This window comes from Homo sapiens, chromosome 1, assembly GCF_000001405.40.
Source record: "Homo sapiens chromosome 1, GRCh38.p14 Primary Assembly".
NCBI lineage: Eukaryota > Metazoa > Chordata > Mammalia > Primates > Hominidae > Homo > Homo sapiens.
Genome location: NC_000001.11, coordinates 52,662,790 through 52,683,963, shown reverse-complemented (window position 1 = coordinate 52,683,963; position 21,174 = coordinate 52,662,790). Strand labels below are relative to the sequence as shown.

The 21,174-nt window shown below is 46.6% G+C and overlaps 1 protein-coding gene across 8 annotated transcripts in view, besides 2 other annotated features; it reads right to left on the bottom strand.

The window, feature by feature from the left end:
- Positions 1 to 14,280: 14,280 nt before the first annotated feature.
- Positions 14,281 to 21,174, bottom strand: part of SHISAL2A (shisa like 2A) — a 36,896-nt gene continuing 30,002 nt past the window's right edge. For 5 of the 8 annotated variants that reach the window (XR_946635.3, XR_007059587.1, NR_135156.2 and 2 more), the window contains 2 exons: positions 16,385 to 16,565; positions 14,281 to 15,396 (listed from right to left, as the gene is read on the bottom strand). The gene's annotated coding sequence lies outside the window, so the exon portion shown is untranslated. Of the gene's footprint in view, positions 15,478 to 16,384; positions 16,566 to 21,174 lie in introns of all 8 variants that reach the window. The other 3 variants (XR_946636.3, NR_135157.2, XR_007059593.1) reach the window with 1 other exon arrangement.
- Positions 17,333 to 17,627: a silencer, noted in NCBI's record as "tiled region #13275; K562 Repressive DNase matched - State 12:CtcfO". NCBI's record gives its function as "represses a minimal TATA promoter and a strong SV40 promoter by Sharpr-MPRA in K562 cells {active_cell/tissue: K562}" and the evidence as "EXISTENCE:reporter gene assay evidence [ECO:0000049][PMID:27701403]".
- Positions 20,713 to 21,007: a silencer, noted in NCBI's record as "tiled region #753; HepG2 Repressive non-DNase unmatched - State 4:PromP". NCBI's record gives its function as "represses a minimal TATA promoter and a strong SV40 promoter by Sharpr-MPRA in HepG2 cells {active_cell/tissue: HepG2}" and the evidence as "EXISTENCE:reporter gene assay evidence [ECO:0000049][PMID:27701403]".

Sequence of the window (21,174 nt, the reverse complement as noted above, 5' to 3'; positions counted from 1 at the left end):
CAACATTGGGGATTAAATTTCAACGTGAGATTTGGGGGACAAGTATCCAAACTATTAATATCCAAAAGAATTGAAAGCAGGGTCTCCAAGAGGTATCTATACCCATATTCTTAGCAGCACTATTCATAGTAACCAAAGGGTAGAAGGAACCCAAATGCCCATCAGCAGATGAATGAATACACAAAAGGCGAGATGTACATGCAATGGAATATTATTCAGCCTTGAAAAGGAAGGAAATTCTGACACATGCCACAAAACATGGCTGAATCTTGAGGACATCGTGCTAAGAGAGTCACAAAAAGACATGCTGTATAAGCCAGTCACAAAAAGACATGCTGTATATGAGGCATCTAAACTTGGGTATGAGTTGTATATAAACTCAGAAACAGAAAGTAAAATGGTGGCTGCCAGGGGCTGGGGTGAGGAGGAAATGAGTTTTTTGTTTTTGTTTTTGTTTTGAGATAGGCTCTTGCTCTGTCGCCTAGGCTGGAGTGCAGTGGCACTATCATAGCTCACTGCAGCCTCTAACTCCTGGGCTCAGGTCATCCTTCCACCTCAGCTTCCCAAGTAGCTGGGACTACAGGTACACACCACCACGCCCAGCTAGTTTTTGTATTTTTTGTAGAGACGAGGTTTTGCCATATTGCCCAGGCTGGTCTTAAACTCCTGAGCTCAAGTGATCTTTCCGCCTCGGCCTCCCAAAGTTCTGGGATTATAGGTGTGAGCCACCATGCCTGGCCAAAATGGGTTGTTTAATAGGTAAAGAGTTTCAAATTTGTAAGATGAAAAAATAATGGAGATTGTTACACATCAAATGTGAATATACTTAACACTACTGAACTATATGTTTAAAAATGGTTAACCCAGCCTGGCTTACATGGTGAAACCCTCTCTCTACTAAAGATACAAAAATTAGCTGGGCGTGGTGGCATGCGCCTGTAGTCCCAACGACTCAGGAGGCTGAGGCACGAGAATCACTTGAACCTGGGAGGTGGAGGTTGCAGTGAGCTGAGATTGCACCACTTCACTCCAGCCTAGGCAACAGAGTGAGACTCCATCTCAAAAAAAAAAAAAAAAAAAAAAAAAAAAGAGGTTAACATGGTAAATTTTATGTTTTACCACAATTTAAAAAAAAAACATATTGACTTTTTAAAAATGCAAGGTTTGAAGTTTTTTTATTATAAAATTAGTATGTTCTCATAAAATGCAATTTGAAACAGAAGAAACCATCACCCCTCACTATTCTTTTATCACCTATGGGCATTCTTTGGCACAATAGCGTTCTCACTATTTAACCATTTTTTTAAAGAATCATATCTTTTTTTTTTTTTTTTTTTTTTTGAGATGGTGTCACCCAGGCTGGAGTGCAGTGACGTGATCTCAGCTCACTGCAACCTCCACCTCCCAGGTTCAAGTGATTCCCCAGCCTCAGCCTCTTGAGTAGCTGGGACTACAGGCGAGCGCCACCACAGCCGGCTATTTTTTGTATTTTTAGTAGAAATGGGGTTTCACCATGTTGATCAGGCTGGTCTCTAACTCCTGACCTCAGCTGATCCACCCACCTTGGCCTCCCAAAGTGCTAGGATTACAGGCATGAGCCACTGTGCCCTGCCAAGAATCATATCTTTTCAACTAACAGGTTTTGTAATTTTTTTTTTTCTTTTTGAGATAGGGTCTCTCTGTGTCACCTAGGCTGGAGTGCAGTGGTGCAATCATAGCTCACTGCAGCCTCAACCTCCTGGGCTCAGGTGATCCTCCTACCTCAGTCTCCCAAGTAGCTAGGGACTACATGTGCGTGACACCATGCCCAGTTAGTTTTCATGTTTTTTGTAGATATGGGGTCTCGCTGTGTTGCCCAGGCTGGTCTCAAACTCCTGGGCTCAAGCGATCCTCCTGCCTCAGCCTCCCAACATGCTAGGATTACAGACATGAGCCACTTGCCCCACTGGGTTTTGTAATTTTGAAGAACTAAGTTTGATTTTTGGGTGGCAGATGTACTGGATTTTTTTTTTGAGATGGAACTTCACTCTTGTTGCCCAGGCTGGAGTGCAATGGCATGATCTCAGCTCACCGCAACCTCCGCCTCCCGGGTGCAAGCAATTCTCCTGCCTCAGCCTCCTGAGTAGCTGGGATTACAGGCATGTGCTACCACACCCGGCTAATTTTGTATTTTTAGTAGAGACAGGGTTTCTCCATGTTGGCCAGGCTGGTCTCGAACTCCCGACCTCAGATGATCCACCTGTCTCGGCCTCCCAAAGTGCTGGGATTACAGGCGTGAGCCACTACACCCAGCCTTTTTTTTTTTTTTTATGGACGAGTTCCTACCTGGGACTTCTGGTACTTGCCTTCCTGAGTCACATACTTAGTGGGGCAGGGAACAATAGAGTGAGCATTAACTGTGTCAAAATGTTATATTTCCCTAAAGTTATTAAAATGCAAAGAATAATAATTTACTGTTCAGAATGGTCCAAGGCCATTTCATACCCAGGCTACTGTGGGAAGCAGTAGGTTGGTAAGAGCCAGCATGGATAAGTTTCTCACTTTAATGCAGCCTTTGAGGCAAGGTTTGAAAATCGCTTTTCAGACTCTGGTCACAGCAAGCAGTATCATTACTGTGTCTTCTAGCCAGCAGGCATTGGATCATCATTAACAACTATTTCCTACGTTTTTCCTCCATGCTAGGCTTGGGCTGGATACAGGACATTCAGAGCTGGCCTGATGGTCTGTCTAATGGGAAAGACGGTTCATAATTGACTCTGGCGGTTTGTGTTCTCACTAAAATCTTTTTTTTTTTTTTTGAGACACAGTCTCACTCTGTTGCCCAGGCTGGAGTGCAGTGGTGCGATCTTGGCTCACTGCAACCTCTGCCTCCCGGGTTTGAGAGATTCTCCTGCCTCAGGCTCCTGAGTAGCTGGGATTACAGGCCACCACGCCCAGCTAATTTTTGTATTTTTTAGTAGAGATGGGTTTCACCATTTCACTATGTTGGCCAGGCTGGTCTTGAACTTCCAACCTCAGATGATCTGCCTGCCTCTCCCTCCCAAAGTGCTGGGATTACAGGCGTGAACCGCTCTGCCCGGCCAATGCTCTCACTAAAATCTGACAGTATGGTGCTCAGTACTGTGAGGAAGGAAAGGAAGAGTCCCAGAGAGGGAAGGGAAAACCTGAGGGTATAGAGATTTGGCTTTTATCTTGTGGGTAATGCAGAGTCACGAAAGGGTTTTGATCAGGTTTGGAAATTAGAAAGATCATCCCCAGTGCAGAAAATGAATCACGGGGGAAAGACTGGAGGCAGGAAGACCAATGAGGAGATGGCTGCAGATGTCAAGGTGAGACATGGTGGGGCCTGAGCTAAGGCCTGTCAAGCAAGGAAGGGAGCACAGGTGAGAGGCCAGACAGCTGAATAAGCAAAATTGAGCCATGCGGGGGTGGGAAGAAGGTGGGGTTGAGCATGAGGTTGAAAAATATAAACCAAAACAGGTTTAGCTTGGGCATCTAGGTGGACAGTGGAGCTATTCATATTGATTTGGAGCCTGTGGTGTGGGGATGGGGACAAGAACTCTGAACTGTTGGGTGATTTTTTAAGTTTTATAAATAAATAGCATTTTTATTTGTTTTATGAAGTTGCTTGAAAAATTGTATGAAGGGCAGCGTGGCAGAGGGAAAATGCCTAGACTTCAGATCCTACAGATGTGGACAATTCTGGATTAGTCAAAGGCAGAATACGCATGTATATTTAGGACACCTAACAAAGAATGAGAAATATATACATTTAAAAATAGTAATGTTATATTCCTTTTTTTTTTTTTTTTTGAGACAGAGTCTCGCTCTGTCACCCAGGCTGGAGTGCAGTGGCTCGATCTTGGCTCACTGCAAGCTGCAAGCTCCGCCTCCCATTCTCCTGCCTCAGCCTCCCGAGTAGCTGGGACTACAGGCTCCCGCTACCATGCCTGGCTAATTTTTTGTATTTTTTTTTAGTGGAGATGGGGTTTCACCGTGTTAGCCAGGATGGTCTCGATCTCCTGACCTCGTGATCTGCCTGCCTCAGCCTCCCAAAGTGCTGGGATTACAGGCGTGAGCCACCGCTCTTGGCCTACATTTCTTTTAAAGCATCAAGTAATCACTTTGTGGGGGGAATGAAGACTTTTTTGGGTTCTTTATGTTCATTTTGCAGTTTAGATCTCTTTTATTGTGAATTCTATATTAGGGTTGGTGGGGGCGGGGTGTACCAGACTATTTTCAGTTCTTAGGTCTAAAGGTCTTAGCCTGGGTTCTGACCTGAGTTTTGCTTTTTATTGGCTGTGTGACCTTAGACAAGTTACTCTACCCTCTTTTCGGATTTTGTCACCTCTCAGGTGGGGATAACAATGTCTTCTAGTAGGGTTGTTAGGAGGAGTAAATAGTAACTCTTATCGTAGAATGATAAATGCTGATTTAAAAAGACTTTTGTGGAATGAAATCTTACAATTAGATAATTGTCTTTTTTCTGAGTGGTATTGTTACCTTGTGAGGGAGTCTAGCTTTTAAAACAGCCTGCCTTTGCTGCCATTCTTTGAATATCCAGGGAGCTGACGGTGAGGCTCTCCAGGGGTACTGATGGCACAAAACAGCTGCAGGGGGCATGCCTGGGGCAGGGGAAAAGTAGGGGGCTGCCCCTACTTTTTCCCTTCTCCACTGCCTGAGCACAGAGTCACTGAGAAGACTTGCACCTGCTGGGGGCCCAGAGTGGAAACTATTCCCAGCTGGTGCCCCTCCCCAGGCTTGAGGAATGGTGATTGTATTACAGTTTATAAATCAGGCCTCCCCACTGTCTAAAGGGGAAAGGCCAAAATTCTTTGCCCAGTGTGTCTCCCCACTCCCATGAGATGATCCCTGCCTCCATATTTAGCCCCATCTTATTCCTAACTCAGGCATCTTTGCATCAGGGAACTGCTTGTGGTCTCTGCACCACCTGCCCCACCCCCAAAATATCCCTATCTCTCTCTCTCTCTCACACACACACACACACACACAGAGAGAAATTAAGTGGTGATGGATGCGTTCATTAATTTGACTATAGTAATCAGTACACAATGTATATCAAATCATCACACTGTATACCTTGAATATATACACTTTTTGTTTATCCATTAAATATTTTAAAAGAAAAAGTAACAACAAAATACCCAGGCTGTTTCTTACAGCCAAGCTTTTGCTGATGTCTGGGTCCACCAAGACCTACGGAATGAAAATCTGGATTTTAAATAAGAAAACCACGGGAAATTCTTATTCATACTAAAATGGGCAGCCCACTCAAGTGGTGTAAAGCCGCAGCTCCTTAGCTTGTCACTACAACCCCTCTGCAGTCTGGTCTCCACACCTTCAGCTCTTTACAATTCCTAATAGTCCTTTAAAACTTAGCCCACATGTCACCTCCTCCAGGAAGTCATCCTGGACCCTCAAGTTCCGTGGTCTTCTGATAGTCCTTGTGCTTCTCTCAGTTCTTTCTTTCCTTTTTTAAAATTTAGTGGGTTTTTTTGTTTTTGTTTTTTTTTTGAGACAGAGTCTCACTCTGTTGCCCAGGCTAGAGTGCAATGGCATGATCTCGGCTCACTGCAACCTCTGCCTCTCAAGTTCAAGCGATTCTCCTGCCTCAGCCCCCCAAGTAGGTGGGATTACAGGCACCTGGCATCCTGCCTAATTTTTGTATTTTTAGTAGAGATGGGCTTTTGCCATGTTGGCCTGTTGGCCAGGCTGGTCTCGAACTCCTGGCCTCAAGTGATCCATCTGCCTTGGCCCCCCAAAGTGCTGGGATTACAGGCGTGAGCCACTTCGTCCAGGCTTAATTTGATTTTTTAAAAACAGAGACAAGTTCTCACTATGTTGCCCAGGTTGGTCTCAAACTTCTGAACTCAAGCGATCCACCTGCCTCAGCCTCCCAAAATGATGGCACTACTATGCCCAGCCTGTCTCTGTCCTTTTCACATGGTTTGGGACAGGCTGTTAAGTGCCTGTCCCAATAGATTATGTCCTAATAGATTATGTCTCATTTCTATTCCCTGTGCCTAGCTCAGGATCTGGTACAGATGAGATACATAATAAATCTTTATTGAAGGAAAGGGAAGGGAAGGGAAACTCTCAGAGACAAATGCTATCTTCCAGTAGATCAACTGAGCATTGAAAAGGTAGCGTTTTGGAAAAGAATCTGGATTTAAATAATTTCTCTGCAAATGTGTTATGTTTCCTCTATGAGCCTCATTTTCCTCATCTCTAGAGTAAGGATAATGTTTACTTTTCAGGGTTAGTGTAAGGGTTAAAGGGTTTAATGAGATAAAGTAAGTGCAGTGCCTGGCTCGATGCCTGGCACATTCTAAATTGTGTAATAGCTCACTGGAGGGCTATCTTTCGGAAGCAGAACTAGGCTTGTTCTGTACAGCTCCAGAGAGCAGAACTAGGCCCAATGGATGGAAGCTGCTAGGAGACAGAACTCAGTTCATCGACATCTGAGTGGAAGAAAGCATTTTCTACTTGGCAGAATGAGAAGCTCTGGGAGGAGGTGAACTTCCTATTACAGGGATATGCAAGAAGAGAGGAGATGCTCGCCTGTCAGGGCTGATGCAGAGGGGACTAACTCTATATGAGATTTGGGTGGAGTGAGTATGCAAAACCTGAAAGATGGGAGCCAGATAAGGCATTTCCATTCAGTGCCCTCCATAATTCATTATTCATATGGTCAACACTGAGGGCTTCCTCTAGGCTGGGTGGCCCTAGGTTGGGCGCTGGGGATGCAGGGCTGGATTTGACAGAGTCTTTATCATTTAGGAAATTACAGTCTAAATTTTGATCATTTATTGAGCAACTACTTTGTACCAGATGCTCTAATCATCTCAGGAAACTTTCATTCTCACTGTTTTTCAAATAAACTGAGGCTCAGCCAAAGTGGCTTACAGAAAGACTCACAGACCAATGAGTATTGCAGCCGGGATTAGAACTTAGTCCTGCTTGTCTCCTAAACCCTCTTCATATGACTCAAGGCTGCCTCACATCCTGATGTTGGAAACACTTTGCAGTCTCAGGGAGACCCTCAAACAGCACCCGAGGACCTTTTGGGTACCAAGTAGATGCTGATGAACAGGAGCTAAAAGGCTAAGGTCAGCTGCAGGAGGACATGGACTCCCTGTAGCACGCTCTGTGCCCAAGTTCCCTCCAGCTGGGGCCATGCGGAGAGTCCAGGAGAACTTGCTGAGGTCAGACTTCACTGCTCACATGACCAGCCAAGCTGCCTGGGCCAGGGCTCCCTGAGGGAACTTGAAACCCGGCTGGGTTCCATCAGCTCCAAGAATAGCAGCTGACCCTACTCTCCCCAAGATGACGGTGTCCGATCAGGTTCCAGGAGGCCCCAGTGGACTCCAGACATCAGTGGCATCAAGCTTTGACCTTGAAGCTGCCCTGGGGTGGTGTAATAACAGCAACATTCATTAACTGCCCACTGTGTGCAGGGCGCCTCCTGAAGTGGGGAACATCCTGTAAGGGAGGTCTAAGTATGGAACCCATTTTACAGGTGAGGAAATTGGGGCTCAGAGATACTGAGAACTTACCCAAAGTCACAGTGAATATGCGGCAGAGCTGGGTTGGAGCCTGGGCTCCCTCTGCCAGTGACCCTGCTTCTGTGAGGAGAGAAGAGCACTCTCAAGACCTCAGAAGACTCCTGGGCAGAGGAGACAAATCCCATCAGCTTCTAAAGGAATGAAGGCAGGGTGCAGTGGCTCACATCTGCAATCCCAGCACTTTGGGAGCTGGGAGTCTGAGGCAAGAGGATCGCTTGAGCCCAGGAGTTCAAGACCAGCCTGAGCAACATAGTGAGACTTCATCTTTACAAAAAAACAAAAACCAAACAAACAAACAAAAAACAAATAAAGAAACTGAAATTAGCCAGGCATGGTGGTGTGCACTTGTAGTCCTGGCTACTTGGGAGGCTGAGGATCAGTAGAATCATTAGAATCCAGGAGTTCAAGGCTGCAGTGAGCCGAGGTTGTGCCAGTGCACTCCAGCCTAGGTGTCAAAGTGAGACCCTGTCTCTAATAAATAAATGAATAAAAAAAAAGTCGCAGGCCAGGCGCAGTGGCTCAGGCCTGTAATCCCAGTACTTTGGGAGGCTGAGGTGGGTGGATCACCTGAGGTCAGGAGTTCGAGACCAGCCTGGCCAACATGGCAAAACCTCATCTCTACTAAAAATACAAAAATTAGCCAGGCACGGTGGTGGGTGCCTGTGATCGCAGCTACTCGGGAGGCTGAGGCAGGAGAATCGCTTGAACTTGGGAGGCGGAGGTTGCAGTGAGGGGAGATCACACCATTGCACTCCAGCCTGGGAGACAAGAGTGAAACTCTGTATCAAGATTTGAGAGCATCAAATCTTGTGTTTCTAAGAGACACATGAGAGTGTCCTCAGGAAGGCAATGGAAGGTCCCAACTCTTAGTCTGGTGTTTGTACCACTAATCCACCAAACCTAGAGGGCTGCCTCTGACAAAAGGGGCCCGAGAGACGGTGGACAGCCTGAATCTTATAGCCAGTGAGGTTCAAGGCAGACTTACAGTTAATTGATGGACTTGAGGGCACAAGTGAGCTGTAACTCTCTTGGTGCTAAATGTTTTCTGTGTTTCTCTGGTGTACCAGGAACTTCCCAGGCTCAGCCTCCACATGAGCACATGGTGGGATGGGATGGTGGTGGGATGAGGTGATGAAGAACTGAAGATACAGGATGCTGCTAGGGCTGATTCATGGATGTGAGTCCTGCACATTTGCAAGGGCCCCATGCCGGGTTTAAGCCTCTACTATCACTGTCTTGAAATTCTTAACAATGTTGAACAAGGAGCCCTGCATTTTCACTTTGCACTGGACCCTGCAAATTATGTAGTTTATTTATGTAGCTGTTGGGCTCTGGGGTAGGAGGCAGCAGCCCCCGACCTGCAGTGCTCCTGGGACTTATCAGAGGCTTGTCAATCCATCAACCAATGGCTGAGTCACCAACAGACAGGAAGGAAGCCAGACTAAGCCCCACCAGACAGGTTTGGCCTGTAACTGCAAATCCCTAAGAGACTGTAACAAGGCAAGGCTCTAAGGAGATTCTGGGGATAGAATTGGAACCCATGGAGGAGGGGCATGGTCTGAGGGGGATTTTAACTCAGTGTCAGAAAGATTTTCCTAACAGTCAAAATGTAATCATAATACATAAAATATACCTCAATAAAGCTGTTGAAAATGTAATCATCTTACTGGCAACTGACATTGAGTGCTTACCGTGTGCAAGGAGCTGTGCTAAACACGTCATTGAAAATATGGAGGATAGGCTGGGCATGGTGGCTCACACCTGTAATCCCAGCACTTTGGAGGTGAAGGCAGGCAGATCATCTGAGGTCAAGAGTTCAAGACCAGCCTAACCAACATGGTGAAACCCCCGTCCCTATTAAAAATACAAAAAATTAGCCGGGCGTGGTAGCACACGCCTGTAATCTCAGGTAGACGAGAGGCTGAGGCAGGAGGATTACTTGAACCCAGGAGGTGGAGGTTGCAGTGAGCTGAGATGGCACCACTGCACTCTAGCCTGGGCAACAGAGCGAGACTCTGTCTCAAAAAAATAAAAAGAAAATATTGAGAGTGGTCAAGAAGAACATAGTTTCTGGAGCCATATTGCTCTACTGCTTATTAGCTGTGTGAGCTGGGGCAAGTTACTTGGCCTCTCTGTGTCTTAGTTTCATCATCTGGAAAATGAGGATAAGAATAATACGTCTCTCTCACAGGATTAAATTATTGTGAAGAATGGCCAGGCACAGTGGCTCTGTAATCTCAGCACTTTGGGAAGCGTAGGTGGGTGGATCGCTTGAGGCCAGAAGTTCGAGACCAGCCTGGGCAATATGGCAAAATCCCATCTCTACAAAAAATATGAAAACTGGCCAGGGATGGTGGTGCATGCCTATAGTCCCAGCTACGTGGGAGGCTGAGATGGGAGGATTGCTTGAGCCCAGGAGGTCGAGGCTGTAGTGAGCCAAGATCATGCCACTGCACTCCATTCTTGAGTGACAGAGTGAGACCCTATCTCAAAATTTTCTTGTGAGGATTAAATGAATTTACATATGTAAACACCTAGAACAATGTCTGACATATACTAAGTACCATATATAAGTTAGTTATTATTTAATCGTCAGAACAATCCTATGATGGAGGTATTATTATTATTTTACATTATTCCCATTTAACAGACAGGTAAACTGAGCCTTAGAAGAGGTAAGTGACTTGTTGATCCCAGAGTTATTGGGTGGTGGAGCAGGAGATTCTGCTATGGGAGTTAGGTCATACTTCACGATCGTCACGCCCAGTGCTTACACTAGAGCAGGCATCTGGTGAGTTTTTGTTAAGTTAATCAATTAATTATTATTTCTTTCAGCTCTGAGATTCTAAACCTGTAAGAAATGTGTGTTCTGGCCGGAGAAGGATGCAGGGACCTAGACATCTTAGGATTTCTTACCAATTGTTGGCCACAGCATAATCAAATATCAAGTATGTTCCACTCTAGGCCTTCTGAATTAATTGCCTGTTTGCTCCCTCTCCATCCCTGCAGGCACTGCCCAAGTTCTAGTCTCATCACCTCTCTGGACTCTGAATTCAGCAGCACTGTATCCTAACTCATGTCTCTCACATCTGCACAGCACTTCACAGTGTACAAAGTGCTTTCAAATTCAATGGTTTGTTGGTTGGTCTGTGTGGCAGACTTTGTGGCACACAGCTCAGTACTCATGCCAGGCCTCCAGACAGATCCCAGCCAGCCAGGGCTTCCTGCCTCAAGAGGCCAGAGCCGACTGCATGGGAACAGGGAGTGCAGTCTGGACATGCCATGTGGGGGTGCTTGTTGAGTTGTTGCTCTCTAGATGGAGTTTGAGGATTTTCTAAGCCAAAGCATGGAGTGAAAGGGGCCAGGCCCTCACCAGGGAATGTTCACTGCCACTCCTCACACTTACCAACTCAGATTCAAGACCCCTGCTTGGGGAGAAGTGGCTGAAGGCAGGCAGTCCTTCAGCTCCTCTACAAGTTTAAATAATATCCCAGCCGGCCGGGTACGGTGGCTCACACCTGTAATCCCAGCACTTTGGGAGGCCAAGGCAGGCGAATCACCTGAGGTCGGGAGTTTGAGACCAGTCTGACTAACACGGAGAAACCCCGTCTCTACTAAAAATACAAAATTAGCCTGGTGTGGTGGTGGATGCCTGTAATCCCGGCTACTCAGGAGGCTGAGGCAGGAGAATCACTTGAACCTGGCAGGCGGAGGTTGCAGTGTGCCAGGAGTTCGAGACCACCCTGGGCAACATAGTAAAACCCCTGTCTCTACAAAAAATACAAAAATTAGCTGGGTGTGGTGGTGCATGCCTGTAGTCCCAGCTACTTGGAAGGCTGATGTGAGAGGATCACCTGAGCCCAGGAGGTCGAGGCTGCAGTGAGCCATCTGCACTCCAGTCTGAGCAAGGACAGAGTAAGACCCCATCTCAAATATATACATATATAATATATGTGTGTGTGTATATATATATATATAAATATATATATAATATATAATATATATCTCCTGCATGCATCTGCAACTACAAAGGGCTAGTGTGCTAAACCTCATCCCTGCCACAGAATGCATTTTTCCCAAATTGCCATGAAGGATTATATGCAGGATTTTGTAGAAAATACAGTGGAGTGCCACTATATCTACCTTAAATACAGTAAGAGCAAACACTTATAGAGAGCTTACCCTGGATCAGGAACTGTTTTGAGTGCTTTATAAATATTAACTCTTTTGGCCGGGCATGGTGGCTCATGCCTGTAATCTCAGCACTTTGGGAGGCTGAGGCAGGCGGACCACCTGAGATCAGGAGTTCGAGACCAGCCTGGCCAACATTGTGAAACCCTGTCTCTACGAAAATACAAAAATTAGCCGGGCGTGGTGGCGGGAGCCTGTGATCCCAGCTATTCGAGAGGCTGAGGCAGGAGAATCATTTGAACCCAGGAGGCAGAGGTTGCAGTGAGCCAAGATCGCACCACTGCACTCTAGCCTGGGTGACAGAGCACAACTCCGTCTCAAAAACAAAACAAAACAAAACACAAAAACGTAGGTCTTTTAATTGTCACAACCCTATGAAATAGGTACTATTTCTCTTTAGTTTACAAAAACTCAATTATACTTGCTGTGGAGAAACTAGAGATGGAAAGAGAAAGAGTAATACTATATTAAATATTATTTTACTCATATACCATAGGCCCCAAGTGTGTCGTGAAAGAGGTAAATCTGCTGTTCCCCTCATTGGTCTCAGTTCCCAGGTGCCTCATAAAATCTTCAGTGTGTGTGCATGTCGCCATACTAAGTATGGGTCTAGTGTGTAAGTCCCCAAGCAAGCCAATCCCTTTATCAGTTATCCACCGAAGAAACAGCAATCTGTTCCATTGCTAGAGGAAAACTTGGCTATGCTATTGGGAGATGGTTCTGTACTTTAGGAGTGATAAAAGGGGTTTCCAAGGATAATTCTGATTATACATGATTTTTTTTTTTTTTGAGATGAAGTTTCACTCGTTGCCCAGGCTGGAGTGCAATGGCGCCATCTTGGCTCACTGCAACCTTTGCCTCCCGGGTTCAAGGGATTCTCCTGCCTCAGCCTCCTGAGTAGCTGGGATTACAGGCATGCGCCACCATGCCCGGCTAACTTTGTATTTTTAGTAGAGATGGGGTTTCTCCATGTTGGTCAGGCTGGTCTCGAACTCCTGGCCTCAGGTGATTTGCCTGCCTCGGCCTCCCAAAGCGCTGGGATTACAGGTGTGAGCCACCACGACCGGCCCCTAGATAAGTTTTGACTGAACTGTAACTCATAGATAAGGTGACCAACCTTCTCGATTTGCCCGTGACTAAAGAGTTTCCTGGGATTGAGACTTTCAGGGTTAAAACCAAGAAAGTCCCAGGGAAACCAGGACAAGTTGGTAACTCTACCACAAAATACATCTCTGTATCTATTGTGAGGGCTCTGTTGACGCCATGGTCTATTATATTATTCTTTATGAGGCTCTCAGGAGAAATTCTTGTCTGGTCTACATACCAAGAATCGTTGTATATCCTCTAAGGAGTAAGTGGTTTGTTTTTATCCTGTGAACACTGTGAACTGTGTGAGTGAACAGGTTTCCCTTTTTGCTTTGGCTGCTGGAAGTCATAGAACTAAGTATGTATGACACAAATTTAGCTGCATAGGTCACTATGTTCTGTACTTTTTGTATCATTCCAGGCTCCACTTTTTCCCTACCTTGTTTTTTTTTCTCTTTCAATTTTACCTTGCCCTGTCTTAAATTTAATGATCTTGTTTTGTTTTATTTTATTATTTTATTTTATTTTTGAGACGAAATCTTGCTCTGTAACCCAGGCTGGAGTGCAGTGCCATGATCTCAGCTCACTGCAACCTCCACCTCCCAGGTTCAAGAGATTCTTCCACCTCAGCCTCCCAATAGCTGGGATTACAGGCGCACACCACCAAACCCAGCTACACTTTTTTGTGTGTGTATTTTTAGTAGAGATGGGGTTTCCCCATGTTGGCCAGGCTGGTTTCGAACTCCTGACCTTTAGTTATCCACCCACCTCGGCCTCCAAAAGTGCTGGGATTACAGGCGTGAGCCACTACACCCAGCCGATCTTATTTTATTTTAAATGTCTTTCTGGATCAAGGCAGGGTAAAATTGAACAGTTCTTAGAGTCTAGGGACTCTGCCATGAGTCACTGAATATATGGAATGATATGTAAAATTTATGTGTATAAACATATTTTTCTAGGGAGATGGAGCCATAAATTTTAATAACTTCTCAAAAAAGTCTGCATTCCCCCCAAATATTAAGAGCCTCTGGTATAGATGAACCAAGAAACAAATAAATGCTTTTAGTTGGAAGCTTGAAAGTTTGACTTATAGTGCTGATATTTTTAAATGTTGCAATGATGGCATGGAGGAATGTTGGTGGGATGGAACATTGGAATGGCAGAGAGAGGAATGTTGGTGGGGTGGAGTGCTCCCCAGAATGGAATGACAACATGACAGAATGTGGTGTGCTGGAACATTAGTGTGTCAGAATATTAGGATATTCTAGAATGTTGATGTAACTGGGCCTACACAAATGTAGCTGTGTAGGTCACTATGTTCTGCACTTTTTGTATCATTCTAGGCCTTCGCTTTTGTCCCTACCTTGTTTTTTTTTTCTCAATAGAACACCACCTTCCAGATGTCTTAGCATCCTCTTTTTTTTTTTTTTTTTTTGAGACAGAGTCTCGCTCTGTCACCCAGGCTGGGGTGCAGTGGCGTGATCACAGCTCACTGCAACCTCCACCTCCCAGGTTCAAGTGATTCTCGTGTCTCAGCCTCTCAAGTAGCTAGGTTTACAGGCATGTGCCACCAACCCCAGCTAATTTTTGTATTTTTAATAGAGATGGGGTTTCACCATGTTGGCCAGGGTATTCTCGAACTCCTGGCCTCACATGATCCACCCGCCTCGGCCTCCCAAAGTGCTGGGATTACAGGTGTGAGCCACTGCGCCCGGTAGTATCCTCTTGCCTGTAGCTCAGTTGTATCTCAGGGTTGGGCTGCTATCTGATTCAGCCTCTGAATCTCCAACATTCCCTAGCTCAGTGCCCTGTAGGGGTCCAGTAAAGATCCAATTGGTGGTTCACGCCTGTAATCCCAGCACTTTGGTAGGCCAAGGTGGGAGGATCGCTTGAGCTCAGAAGTTCAAGACCAGCCTGGGCAATAAGAGAAGCCCCATCTCAAAAAAAAAAAAAAAAAAAAGATCCAATTGGCTGCTGGTACATGGGCTTGTGTCAGTTTTATTTTACACTGAGCCACTTTTTCCTTTCTGACTGTGCCCACTCTCCTTCAAGATCTGTCTCAACTACCTTGCAGGCTCAGGACTCGGGTAGATTACCTTGTCCATTCCTGTGTTTTCAGAGCCCGGTTCAGGGGCTGCCCAGAGGGCATGCCAACCCTGTGGCTTAGTCAGGGTAGCCTGACTAAGCTCTTGGCCAGAGGCCTGTCTGCAGCTGGGGCTCTTAGGGCTGGAGTTCAGCTTCTGGAGCTGTTAGGCTGAAGGAGACTCAGGATCCTTGAGGTTAGTCAGGAGCAGGGTAGGCCAGATCAGAGTTAGTTGGGGGAAAGGTGAGGCTTCATTACCAGAAGAACCTGATCCAAAGGCCAAATCCAAGAGCTGGGGTAGGGCATAGATTGGAGTCCAGAGTAGGAGCGGATGGGGAGGAGTTGGGGTAACGGCTGGTCTCCTAGACGTTCACTCCTCCTTTGCTCCATACACTCATTCGTGTGGCTGACACTTGCTGAGGCCTCCTCTGAGGAAGATCTGTCCATGCCCTGGAATTAACAGTCCATAATGGCGAGATGGACACATAGAAAATGACAATCCAGTGTGGTCGGGGCTATGACACAGAGAAGCTGTGGGAGACCAGAGGAGATCCCAACTCAGCTTGGGAGTCAAAAACAATTTCCTAGAGGAATACTCTCTAAGCTGACGCTGGAAGGAGTCAGGGAGGGGTGGGGGGCATTTTCAAATGGGAAGGCTGCCTCAAAAGCCAAAGTGCACGGAAATTTCCCAGTACCTACCTGTGGGCCTCAGATCAAGGTGCTAATCACAGACTGTTCAGTTCTTTGGGCCACACATGTTTGGTCTATCCAGGTCTAATTACCTTCAGACTTTCCCCAGCTATTCCAATAACCCACAAATTGAAGTATGTTGCAATCAATTCCAACCAGGAGAGGATAACTGCATCTTAAAGTGTGGAGACATTTCCTGATTTTGAGAGAACAGAATTTTCTGGACGTGCAAAGCCTGCTACCTCCCAGCCACCCTGCTGCCATGGCCTTTCTTCTGGGCCCACACATTAGCTATGTACTCATCCCAACAGCTGGGTGGGCCATTTACTCCCGGGGTGACCATCTCAGTTACTTCAACTTTGAAATGAGCTCCATAATGGTGTGGGGAATGCTTACTAAACTGGGTGGCAAGAGAACTATATTCAAACCATGGAGGCTTCACCAATGGCACTGTGTGAGGTTGGGCAGGGCATTTCTCTCTAGAACTCAACTTTCCTACCAGTGAAAAAGCAGAAAGGATGCAAAGGGGCTAGGATCTCCCTGCCTTGATGGTCCATGTCTATGTCAAATGCTGTATGTCCTGTTTTTGGCCTGCTTCTTTGAAATAGAGGCCACGTGATAGAGTGGATTCTGCAGACAGAAGATTTAGATATGATTCTGGTTCTGACTTGCTTTGTAAGTCTGGGACAGCCATGAAACCCCCTCCGAGCCCCAGTTTTCTCATTTGGTAAACTGAGGTAATACCTACCTCACAGGGTTCTGTGAGGCTCCAGTGAGCTAAAAGCAACATAATGATGACGATGACAATGATGATGATGGTGGTGGTGGTGATGGTGATGGTGATGGTGATGGTGATGATCTGTCTCCACAGCAGTCAATCTCTTTGAACGAATTACAATTGTGGTTGTTGCCAGGAAGTTAGGAACCACCTGCAGGGTCATAGAGAATGTGAACAAATCTTTGAAAGACTTCCCCATGGCGGAGCAAACATTCCCAGCAAGAGCTATTACTGAGGGGAAAAGAGGAATGAACTCGTGCTGACTAACTACGCCCATTTACTTCTTCCATTCCTGCAAGGTAGGTGTTCGTGTACCCATACTAGCTGGGTAACCAGTATATAAACCTTTCAGAGCCTCAGTCTCTTCACCTGTAAAATGTAATATTACCAAACTCAGAATTGGTGAAGCCTATAGTGGACATTGATTGCTCTGGGCCACCCAGCATCCAAACACTCCCTATCTGGAGGAATTCCAAGCTATGTGGGAGCTGAAGGAGGCAGCAACTCCTCCTGACCCTTGTGGGCTTGTGATTGGCCAAGTCAATGCCCTACATGGGCTGAGTCTGGTGGCAGTTAGCAGAGGGGCAAGGACAGAGATTACTTCAGGTGGCTGCAATGGGGCAAGAGCCTAGCAGTGCAGTGGTGATCAGCAAGTATCTGTGTGGCTAGAGGCAGAGTCTGTCCTAAACACATAGTTCCCATGGCAGGACTTTGGCCGTGCCCAGCTGCCCTTGATTCTCATCTAGCTTTGTGGTCTCCCTGTCATTTCAGTGAGACATCCAATAGCTTTCCAGTAAAGACCCTTTTTGCTTAATTTTGCCAGAGGTAGTTTCTGGCAACTACCTCTGAGAATTTGTTTACAACTGAGAATCTTGACTGGTACAGCGTAAACCCCATAACATGCCAGACACAATGCTCAGCATATAGTAAGCACTCAAAAAACTATAGACACACACACACACACACGCGCGTGTGCACAGAAACAAAAGTTCAGAGAAGTAAAATGATCTGCCTAAGGTCACACAGCAGGTGGTGCTATGGGGCTGGACATGGACATCTTGGTGGTACACTGCATTTAATTAATTAATTAATTAATTTGAGACAGAATCTCACTCTGTTGCCCAGGCTGGAGTGCAGCGGCGCAATCTTGGCTCACTGCAACCTCCGCCTCCTGGGTTCAAGTGATTCTCCTGCCTCAGCCTCCCAAGTAGCTGGGACTACAGGCGCCTGCCACCACGCCCAGCTAATTTTTGTACTTTTAGTAGAGGCACGGTTTCATCATGTTGTCCAGGCTGGTCTTGAACTCCGGACCTCAAGTGATCCCCCCGTCTCAGTCGTCCAAAGTGTTAGGATTACAGGCGTGAGCCACCGCTCCCAGCCGGTACACTGCATTTAGATATCACTTTACTTCATAACACATTGTAGAACAATGTATTATTAACACATTTCTTCGTAAGTATCCAAACAACCTAGTGAGGCCAGAAGGGCTGGGATATTCTCTTGAGACAGAGAGGAAGGCATTAGCTCAAGGTAACCCTGTAAATAGTGGTGGCCTAGAATCCAGGTCTCAAGTCCACAGCCCAGGGCCGGTGCTCTGGTCATGTTCACACATGTGAGCTCACACATGCACACGCTGCTACATTTTATGAAGCAGCTCCATCGGAATACATGGCTACCTGATGCATTAGCAACCTGGGGTGAGTCAGCAGCTGCCTGTGAGGCCATCAGGGAGGGAACACCATGTACCAGAACTTGCAGAAAGGAGTGCTTCTGCAGCTTCCATGTGATCTGGGGTACAGGGAAGTGGGGGGGGATGGTGCTTGAGAAGAAGGATGGGAGGGAGGTGGGGATGGGTAGATTTGTCCTAACTTAGGGCCTCCTCTGGGCCCCAATAGGGCCCATACTTATTGAGGGAGATTTTGGTTCCTGCAGTGTTGGCAAAGTGGCTTAATTCGACTTAATGGAAGAAAAATGTGTAATGAATATGGATAATGCATACAATGAGGCCCCAGGGAGGGCTGGTTGGAGGAAGGGTGATGAGCTCATGATAAGTCTGAATGATAATGAGGCTGTAGCTCCAAGGGTGAGCCCAGGTAGAAGACATCGGGGACAACTGCTCCTCCCTAGGGGAGTGGGATCCTCCTGCTGACCTCTGTCCCCACCCTGCCCTGGCCTTCAGACCTTGACCTCCCACTTGGATAGAGTTACAGAATGTCAGATTCACAGGATTCTGGTTTCACAGGATTAGAATCAGGCTCAAGATTCCACAATTACAGACCTTTAGCACCACATATGTTAACAATAGAAAATTTCAGAATTGAACAGTCTGACAATTGGAGCCCCTTGGGAAGAAATCTAGGAGATCTTTCCCCAACTTTCATTTAGTAACAATAAATAACATCTGTCGAGCACATCACAACTTCCAAAGTCCTTTCACATCTGTACAGACATCGCATAGGGGTGGGTGGTATTATACCTTCAGCTTAAGTATTGTGCAGATCAAAATGGGCTGGCTGGCGGATTGCTTGAGCCTGGGAGTTCGAGACCAGCCTGGGCAACTTGGCAAAACCTCGTCTCTACTAAAAATACAAAAATTAGCTAGGCGTGGTGGTGTGCGCCTGTAGTCCCAACTACTCAGAAGGCTGAGGCAGGAGGATCACTTATGCCAGGGAGGTCAAGACTGCAGTGAGCCATGATTGCACCACTGCACTCCAGACTGGGCACAGAGCAAGATCCTGTCTTAGAATAAAAATAGCCGGGGTGCAGCGGCTCATGCCTGTAATCCCAGCACTTTGGGAGGCCGAGGCAGGCGGATCACGAGGTCAGGAGATGGAGACCATCCTGGCCAACACAGTGAAACCCCGTCTCTCCTAAAAAATACAAAAAATCAGGGCCGAGCGCGGTGGCTCACGCCTGCAATCCCAACAACTTTGGGAGGCCAAGGCGGGCAGATCACCTGAGGTCGGGAGTTTGAGACCAGCCTGACCAACATGGAGAAACCCCGTCTCTACTAAAAATACAAAAAAATTAGCCGGGCATGGTGGCACACGCCTGTAATCTCAGCTACTCGGGAGGCTGAGGCAGGAGAATCGCTTGAACCCGGGAGGTGGAGGTTGCGGTGAGCCAAGATTGCGCCACTGCACTCCAGCCTGGGCAACAAGAGCAAAACTCGGTTTCAAAAAAAAAAAAAAATTAGCTGGGCGTGGTGGCCGGCGCCTGTAGTCCCAGCTATTCGAGAGGCTGAGGCAGGAGAATGGCGTGAACCCGAGAGGCAGAGCTTGCAGCGAGCGGAGATCGCGCCACTGCACTCCAGCCTGGGCGACAGAGCGAGATTATGTCTCAAAAAAAAAAAAAGAATAAAAATTAAAATTAAAAAATAAATAAATAAAATGGGCTGGTCTTGCAGGACAAATTCTATTTTCCATATGCCAAGGTTTCGATACCTTTGTCTTCTGTAGTTATATAAACACTTCTATTTGGTATAATGTGTTCAAATTCTCTGTTGTGTAAATTCTGCACGGTCAAGTATGGTTTTTCAGAATGCATTTTGGCATATTGCAATGCTCAAAAATATGACTATCATTGTTGCATCAGCATAATCAGGGTTGGTACATTCTGCGATAGCTTTTTGGCAGGTTTTATCATCCAGCACTATTTTCAGTTCACAAAGGACTTAAACAACATATCCAAGAATAGATTTAAGTCACTAATGTAAAGACTGAACTTCAAGTTACTTCAAGGGTTAGTCAGCACATGTTCTGATTTTCTTTCTTTCTTTTCTTTTTTTTTAGACGCAGTTTCGCTCTTGTTGCCCAGGCTGGAATGCAATGATGCAGTCTCAGCTCACTGCAACCTCCACCTCCCAGGTTCAAGCGATTCTCCTGCGTCAGCTTCCCGAGTAGCTGGGATCACAGGCATGCGCCACCACGCCCGGCTAATTTTTGTATATTTAGTAGAGACGGGGTTTCACCATGTTGGCCAGGCTGGTCTCGACCTCATGACCTTAGGTGATCCACCCGTCTTGGCCTCCCAAAGTGCTGGGATTACAGGCGTGAGCCACCGCGCCCGGCCACATGTTCTGATTTTCTTAGAATAAGAAGTTAAACTACCAAAGATACGGAAAGAAGAAAAAAAGCAAACATAAGCTTTGGTGGATAGGAGCGCATAATGAACGCCACACAGAGGGGTGGTTGCGGGGAGGGCGGAGGAGGTGCTTGGAGGGAACCTGTGCTTGGGATTCTGCCAGTAACGGGCTGCGAGGGGTCTGGGGCAAATCCCTCACGCCTCTGGGTCTCAGTTTTTCCCTATTTCAAATGGGGATAATAATTCTCACCCTGGGGAAAGTTCGGGAGTTGATCAGCCCGGGAGGACATCTGCAGCCACAGGACAAAGAGCTAAGAGAGATGGAGAAGAGGGAGGGGTGTGGAACCGCAGGGAGCTGCGAGGGGCTTACGGCTTCCATGGTAACCTACAGCAGCCAGGAGAGAAGGCGGGGCTTGAGAACCCGGAGCTGGAGGTTTAGAAGATGAAGGTTTCACAATGAAGCTCCCTACTTCCCGGAGAAAGGCCTCCTTGGAGATAAGGCTGGCTGCACGACAGCAGCCCTCTGTGCTGGACAAGTAGTGATTTTGCCCTGTGCTTGAATAAACAAACCATGGCACTTTCCACAGTGTATTTAACTGTCTATTTAACCTAGCAGTCTTCCTCCAGTAGCCTGAGAATTCCCTGAGGGCAGGAATTATGACTGATTCATTTCTTTG